Source organism: Homo sapiens, chromosome 2 (genome assembly GCF_000001405.40).
Source record: "Homo sapiens chromosome 2, GRCh38.p14 Primary Assembly".
NCBI classification, from domain to species: Eukaryota; Metazoa; Chordata; class Mammalia; order Primates; family Hominidae; genus Homo; species Homo sapiens.
In genome coordinates this window covers 39,418,275-39,442,146 of record NC_000002.12, presented here as the reverse complement: position 1 = coordinate 39,442,146, position 23,872 = coordinate 39,418,275, and the positions used below count along the sequence as shown (strand labels likewise).

Sequence of the window (23,872 nt, the reverse complement as noted above, 5' to 3'; positions counted from 1 at the left end):
GCTAAGATTGTGCCATTGCACTCCAGGCTGGGCAACAAGAGCAAAACTCTGTCTCAAACAAAAAAAAAAAAAAAAGAAAGAAAAAGAAAAAAGAACACTCAAAATAATAATAATTAATATTTTGTGGGGTTACTATAGTGCCAGGCACTCCTTTCCCTGTATTTTCTTTTTGATTAATCAAAACAGCTATAGTTTTAAATAACTTCCCAAGGTTTTTCAGTCAGGGAACAGAGATAAGATTTAAACCTAGGTAGCCTGGTTCAGAGCTGTACTAGGTAAGGCTGTATAACCTTTTGGAAGTCTCTGCAGCTTAAACATATGATAACCCACCTGAAAACCAGCTCCTCACAAGCCAGTTTCTGACTTTTTAAAAAAAGTATAAATTTTTCTTAAGCATGTTTGAATTTTGTAAGTAAATTTTTCTAGCTGGTCTGTAGTAATCATTTCAAAACATATACATATATCAAAACATCACATTGTACACTGTAAAGACATTCAATTTTTATTTGCCCATTATGCCTCAATTTAAAGCTGGGGAGAAATGAAATACATAAATAATTTTTTTTTAATGATAGAATCTCACTCTGTCACTCAGGCTGGAGTGCAGTGGTGCAATCTCAGCTTACTGCAACCTCCTCCTCCCAGGTTCAAGCGATTCTCATGCCTCAGCCTCCGGAATAGCTAGGATTACAGGCACGTGGTACCACTCCCGGCTAAGTTTTGTATTTTTTTTAGTGGAGACAGGGTTTCACCATGTTGGTCAGGCTGGTCTCAAACTCCTGACCCCAGGTGATCCACCCGCCTCGGCCTCCCAAAGTGCTGGGATTAGAGGTGTGAGCCACAGCGCCTGGCCATAAATAAAAATTTTTTAATTAAAAAAAGAAACCTGATTTTTTTAGCTCCATTGCCACCATCTCCCTCTGTCTTCAGAATTTAAGCACAATTGTCTGTTGTATGTGCCATATTATTTCACATACATGCTCTCTGTGTGATTTTCCTCCCCTGGTGGATGACCTGCTTCTGGCATTTTTTTGAGCTAAGGCTTGCTCAGTATCCTGTTTCCAGAGCAGCTAATGTACTGAAAATGTGAGTGGTGGTTATGTTATATGAGGAGGGCTGAGGTTAATAGGCCAAAGAAGGGGCTCCAGTGAGTTGTCAGACAAGAGGTCGAGGATGAAATTGGGAGCCTGTGCAGGGGATCAAGGGGTTCCTAAGCCAGAAACCCATGGGGGATGGGGCAATAGAAGGATGGCCTGGACATGCTGGCAGGTGGGGACTGCTGCCTATCTTGGCCTTCTTGTGTTCCTTGCTGTGTGATGCTTAAACGGGTAGGTGCTTCAAGGCGCTAAGCAGCCAGCCTGTCATGCACCACTTTCCCTTGTCTGCCTATGCATTTTTCAAGGTTCAGCTTTAGGGTTATTCCTTTTTTTTTTTTTTTTTTTTTTTTTGAGACGGACGCTTCCTCTGTTGCCCAGGCTGGAGTGCAATGGTGCAGTCTCAGCTCACTGCAACCTCCACCTCCCGGCTCAAGTGATTCTCCTGCCTCAGCCTCCCGAGTAGCTGTGATTACAGGGGACGTGCCACCGCGCCCAGCTAATTTTTGTATTTTTAGTAGAGATGGGGTTTCACCATGTTGGCCAGGCTGGTCTTGAACTCCTGACCTCAGGTGATCCACCCGCCTCGGCCTCCCAAAGTGTTGGGATTACAGGCATGAGCCACTGCGCCCAGCCAAGGGGTCATTCCTAAATCTTCCTCCCGTCTGCATTAATGTCCCTTCTCTGTGCTTCTCACACTATTTATGAGACTGTCAACTCCTTGAGGGAAGGCATTGTGGCTTTTCTTTTCTGTATTCAATACCACCAGAATCTAATAATCATTGCCTCTAAATACATTACAGGGAGGTAGAGGTTGGCTTACCATAAGAGAAATTTTTTACAGTATATTGTATATAAGCAGAGTATAGACTAGTGGCTAAGAATCTAGCCTTGGTGTCATACTGCCTTTGTTCAAATTTCAGCCTTCTGTGTTACCTTGAGCAGTTTAATCTGTCTGTGCCTCATAAAATGGAGATAATATTACCTATGTCATTAGGTTGTTGTGCGAATTAAATGAAATAACACATGAAAAATACTTGGCTCCATTCCTGGTATCTTGTAAGCACTTAGCAATGTTAGAAATTACTACTTTTCTCCTAGTTATTATGATCATTTACTAGCACTGTATCACAACGAGGTGGGTTGTTTTGGGAAGCAATGAGTCACCTTTTATTGAAAGTATTCAAGCAGCAGCAAATCCAGCAGAGATGCTGTAGAAGCAGTTCCTGAGTTAAAAAGATTAGATGACTTCTAAGAATGCTTCTAATCATAGAAGAGGGAAGCTCTTTCTCTGATTCTAGGAAAGTGTGATCATTAGTGTTACTTCTAGCAAAACTGAGGATTGTTAGAACAGGGGGAAAAGGCACTGGAATTGGCCACATGCATATATTACAAAAAACAAAATATTTTCTTTGTGAGCAGTTGTTTTACTTATGTTGTAACCCACATGGCAAATCAGGCCCTTACATGGAAATTCATCTCTTCTCAAAAGGACTAGCTTGGCCCTGCCAAAATGGAACAGACAAAACTTTAAAGACTGTTCTAGCCCTACTGAAATGTCTTTTCCTTTTGAAAGCAGTCTATTAGTGATGCAAATGCAAAGTTATTTGGACAGACGATAATCTCAGCAAACAAAACACTGAAGTCATTAGAACTTTCTTGTGCAGCTTTCAGTCCTGAGAATTTGGCTTTCTGGCACTAAAAAGGCAGAGGCCGGGTGCAGTGGCTCATGCCTGTAATCCCACCACTTCAGGAGGCCGAGGCAGGCGGATCATCTGAGGTCGGGAGTTCAAGAGCAGCCTGACCAACAAGGAGAAATCCCATCTCTACTAAAAATACAAAAATTAGCTGGGTGTGGTGTTGCATGCCTGTGATCCCAGCTACTTGGGAGGCTGAGGCAGGAGAATCGCTAAGAACCCGGGAGGCAGAGGTTTCAGTGAGCTGAGATTGCACCCTTGCACTCAAGCCTGGACAACTAGAGCGAAACTCCTTCTCAAAAAAAAAAAAAAAAAAAAGGCAGAGGAAAAGAGCAGACCTGGCTTCCATTTGGGATAATTTGTCAGGTCTGCTTATCTGAATCCTTGGCTAATTATTCTTGCGCTTGGCCTAAACATGCCAAACAATTCTCCAAATGTGGACAAACTGAAGGAAGGCCTGTAATCTGGGTCCTGGGCAAGTACCTTAAACAAGCAAAAGCAAGACCTTTGGCTATGGAATAACATTTATAGTCAGGAGTTTCTCAAGATACCAGAGCCTGAAGGTAGATCCATCGAGAAGATATTCAATGATATGCACTCCTAAGGCAATAATTTAAGTGATACTTTCATATTACTGATGCTTTAAAATTTAATAATTAAAAATTACACAACTGAAAGGCTACTTATATAGGTGAAGAGATAACCATTTTCAAACATCAATTTAGTCAACAGATACTCAAAGTAAACAATTTGAGAATTTAGTACATATGCAATTTTCCTATGAGCAAAAGGATTCAAAAGATTTTTTGAAAAAGTATGAAGCAGTTAACTCTAAGTAGTTTGCTCTACTATTAATTTATTATACTTATCCTTAACAGGTTTGATGAGACCTAGTTTCTCAGGAGCCACGAGGTATTAGGGAATATTAGTGGTTAGAAGGTGTGGTGCCTAAGGGGATTAGGAAAGCATTTCTGAAGCAAAACTCCAACGTGGTATTGCCAAAGTGGCCATCACCTAATTGATTAAAGCTCCTGCAAATGTCTATTGGGAAGTTCAATGAGAACAGAAAAATAACCTTCCATTACCCTCAAGCTTTCTTGGGCAAGTATTAACAATCGGAGCTGGAGTCCACATAGCTCAGATGTAAGACGCGCAATCTGGGTCTTAAGCAGGGTGGGGTTTTTGGGTAGGTAAGGTCACAGCTAAAGAGCTTCCGGATCGTCACGTGTTTATATTTCAGGTGCGGTAATAGATCTAGTCCACTCTCCACCCCTTCTTTACAGGGTTGCTTGACAGCCTGCGCAGTCCCCGCCCGTCTTTGATAATCCAACCCTCTTCGAAGAGGGAGGTCAATCACTGCTTTAGTTCTGCGCTCTGCCTGCCTCCCACGCGGGATGGTGGGCAGCTGTTCCGCGTGTTTTCCTCCCGGAGCTTTCACGCTCTGCCCACTGCACACACCTCCCTCGCGGCCCTCCTGGCCTGCCCTCCTTTGCACCCTGGCAGGCCAACTCCAAGGGTCCGAGTGTCGGTGACAGGGGCAAGCAAGCACAGCTCACTTTTCCTGGGGGTTTTCCTCACGGTGTGTTTAGTGACCCCTCCCCGCAATCCCAGAAAGGCTGCAGCACTCCATGGTATCCTACATGTAGCTGCTTCTAAAATAATAAAGGCTGGGACATTGGCTGTCTTGGATATTACCACTATGCTACCTGCTTGGAACTGGGACCAGATAGACCAAGGTCCAACTTTGTCGTTAGGGGAATCAGAAACGAAAAGAAGCCACTTTCTGCTAGTCCTAACCCCGGTCCCTGGGCCAGGCAAACCTTTTCAAGCGTCCGGCGGCAGCGGCCGGGCGCGGGTCCGCAGAAAAGCCGAGGCGTTTCGGGTCCCAAGCTGTTCCGCCGCCGGCCCCGGCCTGGCAGGCGCGCGGAGCCGGAACGCGCAAGGGGTCGGGTGCGCGCCAGGCCTGGCGCGCTCCCTCCGGGATCGCGGCTGCGCAGTCGGGCGGGAGTCGGGAAAAGGGGAGGAGGTTGGAGGAGCCGGAGTAAGGGGAGGGGGAGGAGCGGCGAAAGCGGAAGCCATGTTGGAGTTTCACCCCGAGCGAGGGGCTGCGAGGGTTCTCCTCTCCTTGTGGGTGTGACCAGGTTCGGCGCGGCGGCGGGCCGCGGGGGGCGGGGACGATTGGCCGCTTGTCGTCGTCCGCAGCGGCGTGAGGGGAGCGGCGGCGGCGGCGGCGGCCGCAGCGTGGAGCCGGGTGATTGTGACCGCCGGGGGAGCCGGGAGCCGGCCGCGGCGCCCTCTCTCCGTGTGGCCCCCTGAGCGGCCCCCCTCCCCTGCCCGGGAGGGAGGCGGGGGGCACCTGGGGCCCGCCATGAACCCCGGCTTCGATTTGTCCCGCCGGAACCCGCAGGAGGACTTCGAGCTGATTCAGCGCATCGGCAGCGGCACCTACGGCGACGTCTACAAGGTAAAGGCAGGGGCCGCGCGCCGCCGAGGCCGTGGGATCCCGACCCGCAGCCAAGCCTGGGCGTCCGAGCCCTTGCCGCCTGTCCTCGGGAGACGCTGGCGCCAGGGAGCAGTCGGGGAGGAGGAGCTGCGGACGCCAAGGGCTCTGCTGCCTTGGTGAACAAAGGGCCGAATGTTTAACCCCGAGACCTCCCCAGCCCTTACCTGAGCCCCCCCGGTGGACATGATTTTTGCCACCTCCCTTCTTGCGCGCATTTCCAGGGAAGGGCAGAACGAGAGCAGGCCACACTGCTCATCCATAGTGCAGAGAAGGTCTGGGCGTTTGTTGCGTTGGCAGGGTCAGCGCGACGAACCGGACAGCAGGGGTCTGGTGTTGTCAAACCTGCCTGCTTCACGCCAACCTGGGGTCGTCCGCTCTAGGTTGGGAGCTGCTGCCCACCAGGCCTCGGTGGTAGTTATTATACTATGCTGAGCGACCTCCATCTTCCATCGACAGCTCTCAGCCTTTAGCGCCTTATTCATCCCCCTGTCAGTTTCTTTTAATTTTCCAGAGTAATGACTTTTTTTTTTTTTTGGAAAGAGCAACTTTGTTTTCTCTAAGTCGAATTGGACTGCGATGCCATTTAAACTTGTTTTTTAAAAAGTGACTTGAATACTTAGGGAAGGTACTGGTTTGACAAGGTTAGAATTCAAAGTCCAGTAGCGGTACAGCATTCCTGTTGTAGAGGGACCACTTCTAAATGTGGGAAGATAAATCACTCTTCCCTGGCCAACTCAACTCTTGGCCTCACAGTTACTGCCAAGAAGAGAGGAGGTTGTTGCCAAATGTGGCAGCAGTCTTGATTTAGTTGTGTATCTTCTTACTGGTAACTGAAGTTGAACTCCTCCAGTTTCACATAACACCTGAGGATGCACAAAGAAACTTAATTTTGCATTGGAAAGTTCAGTCTTAACTTTATTTTGCCCATGTTTAAGCAGGTTTTTACTCTTCAGTGTAATGCCTGTGGTAACTTACATATTTAATACAGTGCAGCCAGTGTTCTGCTTTAGTCTGATTTTCTGGATGATCTACTTTTCACCATCGTGGATCTCATCACTTTTCCTACTATGCAATATAGATATATTGAGCCCACCTACAATGTATGAGATACTTGGCAAGTAAGCACTTTGGGTTGTAGCAGTAAACGATAGACTTGGTTCCAAATCTTCCTAAGTGTTTCTATTTTTTTGGACAAGGACAGTATTAAATAGCCATTTAAATAATTATTGCCGTTTAATTTTGTGATGCAGAAAAGAGTATTAGGATCAGGGTTATGAGAGCATGTAATAGGAGGACCTGATCCTGTTTAGGGTATCAGACGCTCATCGCCTTTCAGCTGAGATCTCAGAGATGATTAGGCGTTGCTTAGGGTACTGGGGAGAGGGGATTACGCCAGATAGGGGAGCATGATATGTGAAGGCTCTGAGGCCCGATGTGAAAGAAGGCCTGTATAGCCTGAGCAGCCAGAGCGGGAGGGTGGCCCTAGATCTTGCAGGCCTCTTAGTTCTCATTAGGAGATCGGACTTGTTTAGGACAATGGGGAACTATTGCAGGCTTTTAAGCAGAGGAGTGACATTAGATTTAGGTTTTTAAAAGAGCTCCCTACTACAGCATGAAGAGTGGAATGGAGCAGTTGGGAGGCCACTGTGATAGTCTAGGTAAGAATAATGGTGTTAAGGAATATGGTGATGACTGTGAAAGTAGAAGTGGATGGATGCAAGTCACTTATGACTGGTTGGGGGAGTTCGCTTATATTGCGATGAAAAGTTAACTAAAACTCGATGAATGTATACGTTTTAGGTGGCAGGGTATACAGTGAATTTTTTTACAGGACTAATTGGCTGTGTACTTGCTATATTAAAAAGAACAGTTAGTAGTTAAGCCACATGATTAAAAAGCAAAAAAAAATTAGGGCCTGTAATTTCCTAAGTGTAATAGAGGTATACTAAGTTGGTTAATCTTGTCATTCGTTTAAAATAATGATAATACTAGCTGATGTTTATGGAATGCTTGTTACTTGCCAGGCACTATAAGATTTTTCTAATTAATCCTAACAGCAACCCTGTGAGATAGGTGCTATTGTTAACTCCATTTTGCAGTTGAATAAACTGAGGCACAAGGAGATTAACTTGCCAAAGTTGGTAGGTGGCAAAGCCAAAATTTGAACCAATTAGGGACTGTATTCTTAACCAATTGGCAGTGCTGCCTCTCTAAAGATAGGAGATGGGCAGATAATGTATTACATTTCCAGTGGAGAAACTGAGGCACACATTTAGTTTAGCATTTGAGTTGTAGCCACACTCTGAGTCAGTGTAGATCTTTAAGTAGTAGTTGGAATACCTAATTCCTGCTGTGCCACAAGGTCTCACTGTTTATGTAGTCTGCCAAGTGGATATCAGATAATAGATGCTTGGTCCCTGCCTGCCAGACTCTTCCAATACCAGTGACCAAAGCAGAGAAACTTCATGTGGTTCTTGACATCATGTACCCCTGCCTGCCAAACTCTTGTTTATGTTTTTGTCTATAATCAAGTTTATTCTATAAAGTTACATTTTTTTGTTATTTGTTTTGCTGTTTTAGTTTTTTCTTATTTATACAAATTAATTGTGCTAGAGAGAAGTACATTTTGTTTTCAAAAGCCAATATATATAATTTGTTCCTTAATTTGTCAGCATTTACGTGCTAAAAATGGAATGATTGGATTAAATAAATAAGAGATCCGATTATAGTCATTCTTGGAAGGTTGGTGGAGATTTTTATTTTGAAAATGTTTTCCTACTCAATGTAATAACATATTTATTGTACTTAAGGTGGCGTGGTTTAGTTCCAAAGCACTGAACAAGGATGTGGACAATCTGGGATTTATTAGCTATGTGACCTTGTGAAATCAACCTCTCAGAGCTGTTTTGTTGTGGAGATATTATTACCATCATATGCCCTTCTTCTTTTGGTATTGACTAAATGACTCAAATTTTACTTAGTAAGTAAGTTATCTTTATTTTTTTCAGGCCAATGCATATATACATTTTATCTGCACTGTCTAAAGTCGTATCTTGTAAGTGTCGTGTAACTCTGCAGGCTTTATCTGTCATGAAGTGCCTGCAGCTTGGGTTACCTAGGGACCTAGGAGCTGGCAACTGAAGCTCTTTAGTTGGGCCTCAGGAGGCCCATGGAGTGCTCTGAAATTAATAGGCTTAATGTTGTATGTATTTGTGTTTTTCTGTGGAGATGGGTTATAGCATTCATTGCATTCTTAAAGAGCTTCATGATCCAAAAAAATGAAAAAATGATCCATAGGTTTGCCATTCAAAAAAGTTTTCTTGGAGAAATTAGGTAGTTATAATAGATCATAATATGATTTTCACATGCATTGTGCCATCTTTTGTCAGGCAGTTTTCCAGTTTAATTTTTATTATTCCTACCCTTTAAGTCTTGATGTCCTTATGTTTTTCTAGATTTTTTGCTAGAAAGAAGCAGGAGATAGTAAAGCTGGAGATGGGATAAGGCAAAAGAAGTTTTGAAAGAATAGTCTCAATATGGTTTCTGAGGAAGTATCTTACCTAGTCTTATGGTTTTAGTCTGGTCCCTGTGAATGATTCCTAGCCTGTGTATCCAAGACTGGATACACAAAGACTCCAGGCTGTAAGCCTTAGAGTCATCTTTAGTGACTTCTGGACTGGGCTTCTTAGGCATTAGCTAAATTCTGTACACAGGCATTTTCCAAAGTGTGGTTGGGGTGCTTCAGGAAAAGCCATACCATGAGTAGGTTAAAGACTGAGAAGTCCTATGGTAAAGAAACCTGGTAAACTTTGCTTAACCTAGCAAACTCCAAACTTACTTGACTATTAGATTCTTTTTCTCTGTAATACATATTGCTTGTCCTTAGTACTAGTGTTTTGTAGAACATGCTTTGGAAACGTTGATATTGATTTTTTTTCACCTTTGTGTGTTTGGAAGCCATTCCCTCTGAAGCACGGGCTGCCGTGTTGTTAAGCTTCCAGGTAGGATTCACATCGTAGTCTGTGTAAATAGATTTAAAGTGTCTGTGAAAGCTGGCAGGAAAAAAGGTGAGGATTGGGCAGTAAAATAAGGAAACCAATTTATATGCATTTAGATAATTACGTGTTAGTTTATTTGTAATTATGCATCTTTCAAGGTGTTCTATTTAATATCATCATAGACTAATTCTTCCATTATAATCAGCATTTGTGAGAACCTTTCTGGAAAACTCAATTCTTAAACCTAACGGATAAGGAATATGAAGACCTTAAGCATTTAGAAAAGAACATTTGAAGGAAGCTCAAACATTGTTATTTGGAGTTATGCTCACTTCTATTTACTTCCATTTAGGATAGACTCTAATAGACTCTAGAGAGACCAGAAGAAATGGCCCTAAACTTCAGAAAGATCATTTGAAGTTGAATAAGGTAGAATTTCCCATCATCAGTTGCTATTTGAGATGAAAAGTGACAATGAAACAGGTAGCGAGGTAATTTTTCTAGAGTGTTTGAAAAACAAACAGGTTTTCTGACTTTGATGCAGATCTGATTACCTAAAGGAAGTACTTACCTCCAGCCTTTGATCTGTATATGTATTTATTGGTGAAACGTATCTAATGCATCATTTTGTATTAAGAATGAATAGTAAGTTCTCTCATGAGAGTACATTGAACAGCCATCATACATTGAACAGCTGTAATATGAGAGGAAATGTGTTATGAACTGTGAGTAGAGTAGCAGAAATGACAAGGCTTGGTACTTGGTATTTACAGGAACATAAAATGTGTACCTGCTATTAGCTGTCATAGTTTGAGATCAGAACCTTTTGGTTTCCTCATTTATATCATATTAAATCTCTTGCTGGCTGAGAGACTCTCTAGATACTCCATAATTGCACAACCGACCTCTGTAGCACAGCATAGTGATTTGAGAACAGGGTTCTGGAGCCAGGCTGCCTAGTTTCACCACCCACTAGCTTTGTCCTTAGGCCAATTACTTAATCCCTCTCTGTGTGTCTCAGTTTCCTCAGCTGTAAAATGGAGATGCTTAGAAAAGTGCTTGGGACAGTACCTGACACAAAAAAGTGTGGTCATTGTTAATTGCTGTTAGTGTCTAGAAGTATTTATTATTATGTATTTCTCCTCCTACTGTCCTTCTAACCAACTGCATTCCTCATGCTTTGCCTCAGGGTTTTTAGCTTGCTGTCTCTGCCTAAAATCCACCCCTCCCCACCAATATCTGTTTGGCTTGCTTCTTCGTTTAAAGTCTCAGCTCAAATGTCATCTTTTAATGAGCCTGCTCCTTTCCACCCTACAAAAAACAGCACTTCTCCCACCACTTTCAGGGATACAGTTCAGGGATGGATCCAGGTTTTACGGGACCTGAAGTTGATGCAGTTTTGGGGACCCTCATTAAGAAAACAAAACTAGAATTAAAAAAGGTATGAAAGTGAATCTTTAGAATGAGAAAAGATATCCCAACAAAATACTGTAACCTTAGGTCCCTTTCTTCTGAGACTTCCTTAGGCATTTAATCACAAATGCTCACAAAAAAATGCTTTCTGATGACTCCCTGGCTCCCTGTCTCCACCTGGAATACTCTACATGTCCCAGCAACTCTCAGCACTCATAGAGGACCATGCAAGTGAAGGGGCCTGAACTTTAAGTTTTGTTAGCTTCACAAAAAATTCAGTTGGACTCTTTACTTAATTTTTAATTATGGCATGTATCACCACATGTTTATTTGTTTATAGCCTGTCTCTTCCCACTAGAGTATAAATCCAGGAAACTGGTGATTTTGCTTTGTTCATTGCTGTATCCCCAGAGCCTAGAAGAGTAGCTGACCCATATTAGGTTCTTAATAAATATTTATGGAATGAATAAATGAACCAACACGAGAGGAACAAACCATGGCTACATGAGTTTAGAGGAAGGAGATCATTATTTCTGACTGGGAGAAATCACAGCAGGCCTTGCAGAGGAGGTGGCATTGGGCTTGACTTAGAGTTCTGGCAATAGTGGGTACAGAATGAGTTAAATGTAATGGGTTATTATTAGGTCTTAAATCTAATCAGTAGGGTTAATGTATCTTTGGCATATTAAGCAATGTTCATAATTGTTATATGCATATGAAGATACTCCGTCATTTTGAACTAAATACCCCTAGTGACTGACTAGTGAATACAGCAGTAGGCTATCACATATGACTTTTATTTTGTTTTTTTTAAAATACGATTAAATTGGGCTTTTAGGAAGAGGACTTTGTTCACCAATACAAAAAAAACCTTCGATTCAAGAGATGAAATCATGTTTCTTTTTTAATTTTTATTTATTTTTTCATACCACCTTTATATGTACAAAAATCATATTTCTTTTCTGCTTTAGGTTTTTTTTAGTCTTTTTTTGTTCTGGAAGATGCCACATTTCTGAGTTCTAACTGCCTTGACCTGATTATAGGTTTGGTTTCCTAATGTAATAATGTACTGCCTACCTTAGCCCTTAAACTCTATAGAATAATTTTAGATTTGACCATAAATTTACATATGTTGAAATAAGACACTTATTTTGTTTGTTTAAGCTCTTAGAAATTTGAGATTGTAAAAATTCTTTCTGTATAAAGGATCATCTACCTTACCTTGCTCAAAGAATCTCCTCTTCATCGCCTGTATGCTAACCTACATACACCATGATAGTAAGGCCTCCCCAGCCATGTGGAACTGTGAGTCAATTAAACCTCTTTCCTTTATAAATTACCCAGTCTTGTGTATGTCTTTATTAGCAGCATGAGAACAGATTAATACATGCCCCTTCCCAGCCAGTCATAAATACCACCCACCCACAATTATTGTTCTCCTTTCGGTCACCATGAAAGCTCTTTTAGAACTTTGTATAAATGAATCATGAGTGAATTGCCTCAGCACTTTTGATGAAAATCAGTTGACAGTACACATGTGAGTATATCTGGACTCTTGTTCTTTTGAGCTGTATGTCTATACTTTCACCAATACCTCAGTGTCTTGTTTACTGTAGCTTTATCAAAAGTCTTGAAATTAGGCAGAGTGGGTCCTCCAATTCTGTTCTACCTTTTCAAAATGGTTTTATCTATTCTAGGTCCTTTGCTTTTCCATACAAATTTTTGAATCAGCTTTTCAAGTTAAATATAAAAGCCTACTGGAATTTTGTCTTAACTTTAAATTTTGAGATACATAATTCTAAATTCATTGCAAAAAGAGGAAAAGAGGTCTCATGTACCCAACACCCACCTTCCCCCAGTGGTGATATCTTTACATACCTATAGTGCATTATCAAAACGAGGAAATTAGTTGGCACAATACAGTTAACTAAGCTTTAGTCAGATTTCACCAGTTTTTGTATGCATTCATTTTTTATATCTTTGTATATAATTTTGTGATATTTTATATACACAGCCTGCTGGGATTGTGTGGGATCTGTCACTCAGTTAGTGGAGAATTGAGATCTTAAAAACATTGAGTCTTCTGATCTATGAATATGATATACCTTTACATTTATTTAGATGATCTTTATCTCATCAATATGTTGCTTTATTTTAATTAATTAATGTTATCCCTGGCTTTTCCTACTAATATTGCAGTGAAACATAATTGTGGAAAACTTCTCCAGGATTGCGTAGTAATTATAATGTGAGCCATATTTTCAGTTTTCATTAAAATTCTCATTGTACTAGTAGTTTCTGACTTCCTTTGGCTTAGTCTTGTTCATTTTTAACCCTGAGCATATGGACTCCTTTTTTTTTTTTTTTTTTTTTTTTTGAGACGGAGTCTCGCTCTGTCGCCCAGGCTGGAGTGCAGTGGCGCTATTTCGGGTCGCTGCAACCTCCGCCTCCTGGGTTCAAGCAATTCTGCCTCAGCCTCCCGAGTAGCTGGGATTATAGGCATGTGCCACCATGCTGGGCTAATTTTTGTATTCTTAGTAGAGACGGGATTTCACCATGTTGGCCAGGCTGGTCTCGAACTCTTGACCTCGTGATCCACCCGCCTCAGCCTCCCAAGGTGCTGGGATTACAGGTGTGAGCCACTGCACCCGGCCCATGGACTCCTTTTAATAAAAATTGACAAAAATGAAAGGGAAACAGGCAAAATGACTATTTAAAAAGATATCCATTTTTTCTATGTATCCAAAGATTTTTTTTTTGAGGCAGAGTTTTGCTCTTTCTCTTGTTGCCCAGGTTGGAGTGCGATGGCATGATCTCAGCTCACTGCAACCTCTGCCTTCCGGGTTCAAGCACTTCTCCTGCCTCAGCCTCCCGAGTAGCTGGGATTACAGGCACCCGTCACCACGCCCAGCTAATTTTTTGTATTATTTTAGTAGAGATGGAGTTTCGCCATGTTGGCCAGGCTGGTCTCGAACTCCTGACCTCAGGTGATCACCTGCCTCAGCCTCCCAAAGTGCTGGGATTACAGGCGTGAGCCACTGTGCCGGCCCCAAAGATTATAACAAATACCTTATAAAACTTGGTTTACTTTTATATATGAGATGTGTGTGTTTCTGTGTATTTTGCAAAACTCACAGCTTTTGAGCTTATTAAAGGAAAATACACTTAAAGTTTACTTCATCCTTAAGTGAAAAATAACACTGCTAGGTTGTTTAGGAGATCCTAAAGAAAATTCTTACCCTGAGGAACTTAAACCCTGATATAAGGAAACAAAATCTGCATGTATGGAACATCTAAGGAACATGCCTAAGGCACTATTTTAACAATTAGAAGAAAACAATAAAACTATATAAATACTGTAGGAATTTTAATTTAAGGGAAAAATAAGTTGACTTCCTGAAAGAGTGAATCTTGACCTGGGACTTGAAGAAAAATTGTATTTGCGATTGTGGAGAACTGTGAAGTCATACCAAAAGAGTAAATATGGGTTAAAAATACTGCTGTAGAACCTAAGTGGGCAAAGAAGTAATAAGACAACTATTCTAAGGAGACATATTGGGAAATGTGGTAGATAATGTTTCACATATATAAGATACAGATAAATGAATGCCAGTTGAAGAATTTAGAACTCACTTGACCTACAATGTAGTATTTTTCAAATTCATTAGGGCCACTCTTTTCTCTAACGTGCTTGGGTAGCTATTTAGATGGTATTCAATAAGTTTTATTTCTTCCCTTTCATCTCTATTGATTTAGAAGTTAAAAGATTTTACTTTTATGCTTTTGGTGGTTACCGTTAAATTTGCAACTTGTGTAATTAGTCTGAAGTTAACTGATCTTTCTCTGTTCTCTTTCTGGTCAGTATGTGGATTTTAGAAGGCTTAATTTCATTCACTACCTTACTGTTTTGTGTTGTCTCTTACTTTGGTTCTACTGTTCTTAAATGTCCCAGTTTAGTTTTTATTATTGTTTTATACAGACAGTGCTTCTTTACATTTACGTGTAGGAGTTTTCAATTTCTTTGCTCACTGTTTCTTCTTGGCCTTATATTCCTTCATTCTGGGTTCAGATTTCTTTAATCTTGAAGCTGTATTTGGTAGGATTTTTTTTCTTTCTTTTAACTTTTCTTTTTAAGTGAGGAACTGTATAAGGTAAACTCAGTCTTCCTCCTCCCCCTCCTCATTGTCTTTATTTTGTCTTTACTTTTAAATCATAGTTTAGTGGGGTATAGAACTCTAAATTAACGGTTGTTTTTTTCTCAGCACTTTGAAGATCTTTTGTTGTCTTCTGGTTACCTGTTGTGCTGTGGAGAAGTCTGTTGTCAATATAATTATTGTTGCTTTTAGCTAATCTTACTTTTTCTTTCCTCCCTGTTTGACTTTTAAGATTTTTTTCTTTGATTCTGGTGTGTACAGTTTCACAGTGTTATGTGTGGATTTTAATAAAAATATTTACTGTTTTTCTTTAATCTGAAGAGTAGCGTATTTCCTCAGTCCTGGAAAATTGTAAACTGCAATATCTTTGATACCTTTCTTCCCCTATCTCTTTCTTGTTTCTCTTTAGAGCTCGTGTTGTATTCTTTAACTTTGTTATAGTTCTCCATGACTTCTCATGATTTTTCTCTTTATTCTGTGTCATGTATTATGGTTCTTATCTTTATTATCTTTAATTATGTCTGTCTAATCTGCTGTTTGAAACTTTCATTTTTTAAAAAAAGTTTGCTTTTTAAAAAATAATTTCAATTCACAGGATAATTGCAAAGAATGAGAGAATAATAAAAATAAAATAACTCTCATACATCCTTTCCAAGATTCACCGATGGCTAATACTTTACCACATTTATTCTCTGTATATATACATATTTTTTTTTTCTGAACCATTTGAGAGTAAGTTGCAGACATCAAACTCCTTTACCCATAAATACTTTGATGTGTATTCTCAAAATGAAAGACATTTACTTAAACTGCAATAAATTATCAAAATCAGGAAATTTAAATATTAAGACAATACTATTATTTGATCTACAGACCTTATTGAAATTTCAGGAGTCCCAGTAATGTCTATTATAGCATTTTCCCCCCAACTCCAGAAATCCAGGAGAATCATATGCTATTTTTAGTTTCTAAGACTCTTCAGTCTCTTAACCTAGAAGAGTTTTTCAGCCTTTGTCTTTTAGACACCAACATTTTTGAGTAGTACGCATCATTTATTTTGTAGAATGCCCCTCATTTGTTTAAATTCATGTTACACATTTTTTGACGGAAATTTATAGTGATGTGTATCCTCAGTGAATCGTATCAGGAAGAACATGATGTTGATTAGTCCCCTTATTAATGTTGATTTTGATTATTTGGTTAAGGTGGGTGTGCCAAGTTTCTTCACTATCAGATTATCTCTTCCTTTTCTAATTAATAAGTAAATTATGGGGAGATACTTTGAGACTATATAATATTTTGTTCCTCATCAAACCTGTACCCACTAATTTTAATATCCAAGTTGATTTCTACTTGAATTATTACTATAATGGTTCCCAAATAATGATTTTCTAACTCCGTTAATTTCTTCTACATGTATTGGTTGACATTCTACTGTGAAGAACTATTTTTGTTTATTTATTTTTTGGCTCATGGATTCTTCTTTTATTCATTGGGTTTTGATTCATCACTTTTATTTTGATGCTCAAACAATTTCAGATTTGGCCAGTTGGATTTTATCTTAGCTAGGACTGCCGTAACAACATACCACAGACCAGGTGGCTTAAATGACAGAAATTAATTTTCTCACAGTTCTGGAGGCTAGACATTCAAGATCAAGATGCCAGGTTTCTAGTGATGCTCTCTTTCTGGCTTGTAGATGGCCTTCTTACAGAGAGAGAGGGCATACTTTCTGGTGTCTCTTCTCATAAGGGCACTTATCCCATCCTGAGGCCTTCCCTACCTCAGGAACTCATCTAAACCCAGTTATCTCCAAAAAGCCCCATCTCCAGATGCTGCCACATTGAGGGTTAGGTCTTCAACATGTGGATTTTAGAGGGACACAGTTCAGTCCGTAGCAGATTGCATTGCTTTTTACATTTTATTAATTATATTCCTAGATATGTGTTATTCTTTTTCAAGTCTTTGTATTCTTGTTGCATACTTAATTGTTCTTAGTGCTTTCGGATTAGTCTATAATTTCAAATTTTGGGGGATTTCATCTTGCAGTTTGTTGCTTTGTTTTATGCTGACTCATGCCTGTGAATTTCTATGTTAATTTTGAATTCATCTACTTTTTTTCTGTAAGAATCTTTGTGGTTTAAATTGACAGCTGAGTGGAGGGGCTGGGGGGGTGGTGGGGAGTGGGTGGGAGACTGTGGCTGTCCTTCCAAAACAGTTTTGCTTTTGTTTCTTCCAGTAACCTCATGAGTCTTTTTGGTCTTGGATTTTTATTTTAATTTCTCAGTTTGGGATTCCCCACATCTTATAGATAATACAAACTTGAACCCCAAATCAAAAGAGCAATGACTCTTGGATTTGAATTCTTGGAGGACTGTTTTTCTTCTACCCAAACACAGACTTTGTTGTTATCCTCTTGTGCTTGTAGGTAACTTTTTTTTTTTTTTTTTTTTTTTTGAGTCAGGTTATAACTCTGTCACCCAGGCTGGTGTGCACTGGCACAATCAAGGCTCACTGCAGCCTCAACCTCCTGGGCTCAAGTGATTCTCTCACCTCAGCTTCCCAAGGTAGCTGGGACTACAGGTGTCCACCACCTTGCCCACCTAATATTTGTATTTTTTGTATAGACAAGGTCTCACTATGTTGCCTTGGCTGGTATCAAACTCCTGGGCTCAGGCAATCCTCCCACCTCAACCTCCTAAAGTGCTGGGATTACAGGCTTGAGCCACTGCGCCTGGCCTAACCCTTTTTTAAAAAAACTGTTTTTGCTTTACTGAAGGCACAGTCCCTTCCAGAGTCCTAGCATTATTCGGGGGTCTCCGTTCCAATGTGCTGTTTTGAGTGGGCCCACGACTGTTCACCTGTACTCAGATGGTTTTAAAATCCCCAAGCACCTAGATTGCAGAGATCCACTAGACTTCCTTCCTCCATCCCCTCCCACCTTGATTCTAATTCCCCTCCCCCCTGTTGGTGGAAATCTCAATTCTGGTTTTCCACTTTCCATCTTAATTCAGTGTGATACATTTGTTAAAATTGATGAACCAGGCCGGGCGCGATGGCTCACGCCTGTAATCCCAGCACTTTGGGAGGCCGAGGCGGGTGGATCACCTGAGGTCAGGAGTTCGAGACCAGCCTGGCCAACATGGTGAAACCCTGTCTCTACGAAAAATATAAAAATTAGCTGGGTGTGGTGGCACACATCTGTAATCCCAGCTACTCAGGAGGCTGAGGCAGGAGAATCGCTTGAACCTGGGAGGCGGAGGTTGCAGTGAGCTGAGATCGTGCCACTGCACTCCAGCCTGGGCAGCAGAGCGAGACTCCGTCTCAAAAAAAAAAATTGATGAACCAATACTGATACATTATTATTATGTTAATTAAAGTTCATAGTTTACATACATTAGGCATCACTCTGTGTTGCACATTTTCTGTGCTTTTGACAAATGTTTCCATCAGTATAGTATCATACAGAATAGTTTCACTGCCTTAAAAATTCCATTTTCTATCTATTCATCTTCCATTCTCCTCTGCCCAACTCCAGGCAGCCACTGATCTTTTTACTGTCTCTATAGTTTTGTCTTTTCCAGAATGTCATATAATTGGAATCATACAATATGTAGCCTTTTCAGACTGTCTTCTTTCCCTTAGCAATATGCATTTAAGTTTCTTCCATAACTTTTTGTGGCTCAATACCTCATTTTTTAAAAATTACTGAATAATATCTCATTGTATGTTTATACCACAGTTTATTCATTCACCTATTGAAGAACATCTTGGTTGTTTGCAGGTTTTGGCAATTATGAATAAAGCAGCTATAAATATCCATGTGTAGGTTTTTATATGGACATAAATTTTCAGCTCATTTGGGCAAATACCAAAGAGTGTGATTGCTGGATTGTGTGGTAAGACTGCTTTTAGCTCTATAAGAAACTGCCAAAATGCCTCCCAAAGTGACTGTAGCACTTTGCATTTCTAACAGCAATGAATGAGAGTTCCTGTTGCTCCACATCCCCACCAGCATTTGGTGGTGTAGTGTTTTGAATTTTGGCTATTCTAATAGGTGTGTAGTGCTACCGCATTGTTTTAATTTGCTGTCCCTAATGGTATATGATGTTGGTCATCTTTTCCTATGCATATTTGCTATCTGTATATATTTTTTGGTAAGGTGTCTGTTAAGATTTTTTCCCTTTTTAAAATAGGATTTTTTTTTATTGTTGAATTTAAAGAGTTCTTTGTATATTTTGGATACATGTCCTCTATCAGATATATGTTATGCAGTATTTTTTCCCAGTGTGTGGCTTGTCTTTTCATTCTCTTAACAATGTCTTTTGCAGAGCAGAAGTTTTTAATTTTAATGATGTCCAGCTTATCAGTTTTTTCTTTCATGAGTCATGCCTTTGGTGTTGTATCTAAAAACTCAATGCTAGACCATGGTCACTTAGATTTTCTTGTATGTTATCTTCTAGAAGTTTTATGTTTTGCATTTTACATTTATGTCTGTGATCCATTTTGAGGTAATTTTTGTAAAAGATGTGAGGTCCATGTCTAGATTTTTATATTTTATTTTATTTTGTTTTGCACGTCAATGTACAGTTGTTCCAGTACTATTTGTTGAAAAGACCGTCCTTTTCCCATTGGATCACCTTTGCTTCTTTGTGAAAGATTAGTTGAATATATTTGTGTGGGTCTGTTTCTGGACTCTTGTGTTAATTTGCTATAGCTTCTATTAGAAAGTACCACAGACTAGGTGGCTTATACAGTGGAAATTTATTTTCTCAGTTCTGGAGGCTAGAAGTCTGAGATCAAGGTCTCAATAGATTTGGTTCTTCTGAGGCCTCACTCTTTGGCTTATAGTTGGCTGTTTTCTCCTGGTGTCTATACATGGTCTTTCCTCTGTTTCCAAACATGAGGAGTTTGGGATTGTAATTTGGAGTCAGATATATAGCAGAGAACTAGGGGAGATAAGGACTGGGAGAAGACTATTGAGTCTAGTTAGGAGGGTATAATTGCTGTTCAGAAAGAGTAGTTGGTAAAGCATCCTAATTAGAAATGATTGAGAAGGCAGGAGGAAATGGTGACATTGTCTGTGGTCTCTTTTCAAGGAGTTTGATCATGCTGCTTTCTTCTAGTACCATAGCATTTCTATCTTAGTGTTTTTCTCAGGAGTATTTATTGAGCACCCATGCTGAGCTGTGTACCATGGCTGACAGAGGATGAACAGAATGTAATCCCTCTTCTCAAGTTGGTGGCAGACTAGATACGGGAATAGTATGGAGTAATTATAGCGTTAAGTAATATGGGGTATTTTGTGATTAAGTATTATGTAATTCCCAATAAAAGTTCAGAAGATCAGAAAAATTGCAGCCCATGGCCAAATAAAGGCTTTTTAGAAGAGATAGAATGAAAGTTTGGCTTTAATGTGTTGTTTAGATTTAAATGGATAAAGTGGAAGGGCACTGTAGTTGAGGTGAAAATCGAAGAATGAAGTCCTGGTAGGGGGAGGAATAAGCAAGAAGAGATCATGCAGGAAACGGGCCAAACTACATCAAATGATTTGTATTGGAGAATAATAGAGAACATTAGATATTAATAACAATAGTTATAATCATAGCAGATGCCATTTATAGAGTATATACTATGTACTAGGCCTTATTTTATTTAAGTGCTTTATAGGTATTCTCATTTTAATTCTCTTCACAACCTTACGAGGTAGGTATTGTTATTTCCATTTTACAGATACAGAAACTGAGACACAAAAAGAAAGGTCAAGAATAGGCCCAGGTCAGGTGCAGTGGCTCACCTCTGGAATACCAGCACTTTGGGAGGCCCATGTGGGTGGATCGCTTGAAACCAGGAATTCAAGACCAGGGTGGGCAACATGGCAAAACCCTGTCTCTACAAAAAAAAAAAAAAAAAAAAAAATGCCCAAGTCAATAAATCTAGTAAGTAGTAAGTGGTGAAACCAGGATTGAATTCAGGCAGTCTTACTTCCAGAACCCATGCCTTGTAGTCACTGTGTTGTTCTGTAGAGAGGTAGGTGAGACCAGAATATGTCTTGAGAAACTGTCTCCAGGTTATAAATTAAATGTGATAGAAATAAGGGAAGCAATTTGAGGTGTTTGATGAACCGAAGAGTAGATAGTGAGCTACTTGATGGCAGGGACCACTTCTTAGTCCTGTGAGAGATGGATGTGGTGGAGAGTGGACAGTTAATCCTCAGTCTGATATTTCAGATTATGTGGAAGATGGTGTACCAGTTAGGAGTGAATGGAAATGATATGAATTAGATTAATGACAGGGGAAACTGGGGGCATAGATGACCTGGAGAGATGGGAAAGTTGAGTGAAGCAAGATGTGGAGTTAGATTTTGGACAGATTGATTGAGGTGTAATGTCTATAGACTAGCAGATTTGAAGGAACCCGTAGGGAAATATCGTCAAGAGGGATAGTGGACACCTGAGAATAAGAATTCTTCAATGATGGGAGTGTCAAGGAAAGAGACATCTTTTGCTTGAGTTTTCAAAGGAATAATAGCTCTTAACTTCTTCCTCACTTTTAATATTTGAGAAATTCATGGCGGCCGGGCATGATGTCTCATGCTTGTAATTCCAACACTTCAGGATGCTGAGGTGGGAGGATTGCTTGAGGCCAGGAGTTCGAGACCAGCCTGGACAACATAGCTAGACCTCATCTCTTAAAAAAAAAAAAAAGCCAGGCATGGTGGCACATGCCTGTAGTCCTAGCTACTTGGGAGGCTGAAGCAGGAACATCACTTGAGCCCAGGAGTTCAAGGCTGCTGTAAGCTATGATTGCAGTACTGCACTCCAGCCTAGGCAACACAGTGAGACTGTCTCTAAACAAAAAACAAAATTAAAAAAAATATGGAATTCATGATTCATGACTTCAGTTTTACCTTTGAATAGTGACATTTGAGCAAATAAATGAAATAAAATATAAAACACCTATTCTGTAAGTGCACGTGTATATGGAAGTTATGGTCTTTAGTTTTAAGTATTATAAGTTACTAAATATTTCCCAGTTGAAATAAGTTAAGAATAATGGAGTAAATAAGAGTAGTGAAAGATTGATTACCCATGATTGTTTAGCGTTTGCTTTCAACACCTGTGTGTCCTTAAAAGCCCTTTTTGGATTCTTGTATTCCTTTCAGTGCCTCAGAGGAATAGGTGACTTAGAATCTCTCTCTGACCCTAGGCCAGGGGGTTCATACTCCTCTTCCTCCATTTCATTCTCAGGAGGTGACACAGTGGAAAGAAGAGACCATTGAAAGTGCTGAGTGATAGGAAAGTCAGATGGGATATGTCATTACTAAACCTTTTTCATCTTTCCGTTTCCATACCTTGCTTTTGCCTGTCCCCATCCTGTGCTCCACCATCTTCTATCCCGTCAGTAAAACCACAAACTCCAAATCTTCAAAAAGCATTGAGCAGAGAATATAAAGCCTTTTGCAGAAACAGTCCACACACAGTTATGTTTAGTTTTTGAATGCCATTCAGCTTGAAGAAGTTAGTCATTTTTATTTCATAATCATTGTGTTGATATTTTTCTTCTGGGGTCTCTTATTTCTGGTTAGTGCTGTGATGTTAATTCACCAATACTACTAGGATCTGCTAATCATAGAAGATGTTTTTATTTGGAATGTTGAGATTTTATTTCCTCCAGTAAACTGTGTTCACATGAGGTTTGACAAACTTTTTTTCTTTCAAAAACCAAAATTGGAGGTTTCTGTTAATTACTGGGCGGAGCTGCTATTTTTATAGTAGGTCTGTATTGTTTGTGTTGAGTTTCTTTAGCTGTTTCTATCGCGCTATGATGCAATATTTGAATTAAAATGTAGAGAATATTTCTATAAGGTAATACTGCTTTTATAGAAAATAATATAAAAAGGTGAAATTTAAATAAACTGCTTTATAAGATTTTAGACAATGTATTTTTAAAATATAATTTAACTTATTTTGGTGGGCTTTAGAAGAAAAATCTGTAAACTAAACTTATTTTGTCTGGCAGTAAAGGGATCTAGTTTTTTTTTAACACTATTGTTTGCAGAAAGTATTCACTTATTAATACATGATAAAATTAGTTGTTTTGGATGAGAAATACCTTTTTGTTAAACTTATCTTTTTAAGTTCATACTATTTAAAACATTATTTAAAATATTTCACTTACTATATAAGATTTTTAAAAAATAAACTTTATTTTAGAATATTTTTGGATTTACAAAAAGTCACAAAGACTCCTAACCCAGTTTCGTTTTTTGTTAACATGTTACCATGGTACATTTGGCACAACTGAGGACCAGTATCAGAACATGACTGTTAACTAAGCTCCACCGTCTATTTGGATTTCACTAGTTTTTCTCTAATGCCTCTTTCTGTCTCAGGATTCCATCCAGGATACCATATTCTAGTTACTATGTCCCCTTAAGCAGAATTTTCTGGTGTGTGACAGCTTCACAGACGTTTTGATAACTTTGATAGTTTTAAGGAGTGCTGGTCAATGTTTTGTAGAGTGTTTCTAAATTTAAGGTTTTTTGTTTTTTTTTTTCTCATGGTTAGATTGCGGTTATAGATTCTAGGGAGAATGAAGTATGTATGCTGTTGACATAATTTATCACTGGCAATATTAACTTTGATCACCGGCAGTGTTAACTTTGATCACCGGCAATGTTAACTTTGATCACCTGGCTTTTTAGTTAACCAGGTTTCTGCACTGTAAAACTACTTTTCCCCACTTTTCCATTTTGTTCTGTTTGGAAGCAAGTCACTAAACACAGCGCCACACTCAAGAGGTAAGAAGTTAAACTTCACCTCTTTGAGGAAGGGAGTAGCTTCGTAAATTACTTGAAATTCTTCTGTAGGGATTTATGTCTTTGTCCTCATTTATGTATTTATTCAGTTATTTTATATTAGTATGGATGTATGGATATTTATTTTATACTTTGGGTTATGATCCAGTACTACATGATTTATTTTGTTGCCCAGATTGCTCCAACTTAGCC

General features: G+C 39.7%; 1 protein-coding gene and 1 long non-coding RNA gene across 6 annotated transcripts in view, besides 3 other annotated features; one reads left to right on the top strand and one right to left on the bottom strand.

Annotated features, from left to right (window-relative positions):
• MAP4K3-DT (MAP4K3 divergent transcript) overlaps positions 1-4,731 on the bottom strand; it is a 163,929-nt gene extending 159,198 nt beyond the window's left edge. Inside the window, exon 1 of the long non-coding RNA NR_037875.1 lies at positions 4,612-4,731. This is a non-coding gene — a long non-coding RNA (MAP4K3 divergent transcript). The remainder of the gene's footprint in view (positions 1-4,611) is intronic.
• Positions 4,609-4,828: a silencer, noted in NCBI's record as "silent region_11387". NCBI's record gives its function as "represses an Ori minimal core promoter by ATAC-STARR-seq in GM12878 lymphoblastoid cells {active_cell/tissue: GM12878}" and the evidence as "EXISTENCE:reporter gene assay evidence [ECO:0000049][PMID:35858748]".
• The window catches only part of MAP4K3 (mitogen-activated protein kinase kinase kinase kinase 3), a 188,020-nt gene continuing 169,009 nt past the window's right edge, over positions 4,862-23,872 (top strand). For all 5 annotated transcript variants that reach the window (NM_001410753.1, XM_047446092.1, NM_001270425.2 and 2 more), the window contains exon 1: positions 4,862-5,255. Coding sequence is in view for 3 of the 5 variants with exons in the window: in NM_001270425.2 (NP_001257354.1) it covers positions 5,160-5,255 (96 nt within the window). In the remaining 2 variants the exon portion in view is untranslated. The remainder of the gene's footprint in view (positions 5,256-23,872) is intronic.
• Positions 4,899-5,258: a silencer, noted in NCBI's record as "silent region_11386". NCBI's record gives its function as "represses an Ori minimal core promoter by ATAC-STARR-seq in GM12878 lymphoblastoid cells {active_cell/tissue: GM12878}" and the evidence as "EXISTENCE:reporter gene assay evidence [ECO:0000049][PMID:35858748]".
• Positions 5,589-5,668: an enhancer, noted in NCBI's record as "active region_15617". NCBI's record gives its function as "activates an Ori minimal core promoter by ATAC-STARR-seq in GM12878 lymphoblastoid cells {active_cell/tissue: GM12878}" and the evidence as "EXISTENCE:reporter gene assay evidence [ECO:0000049][PMID:35858748]".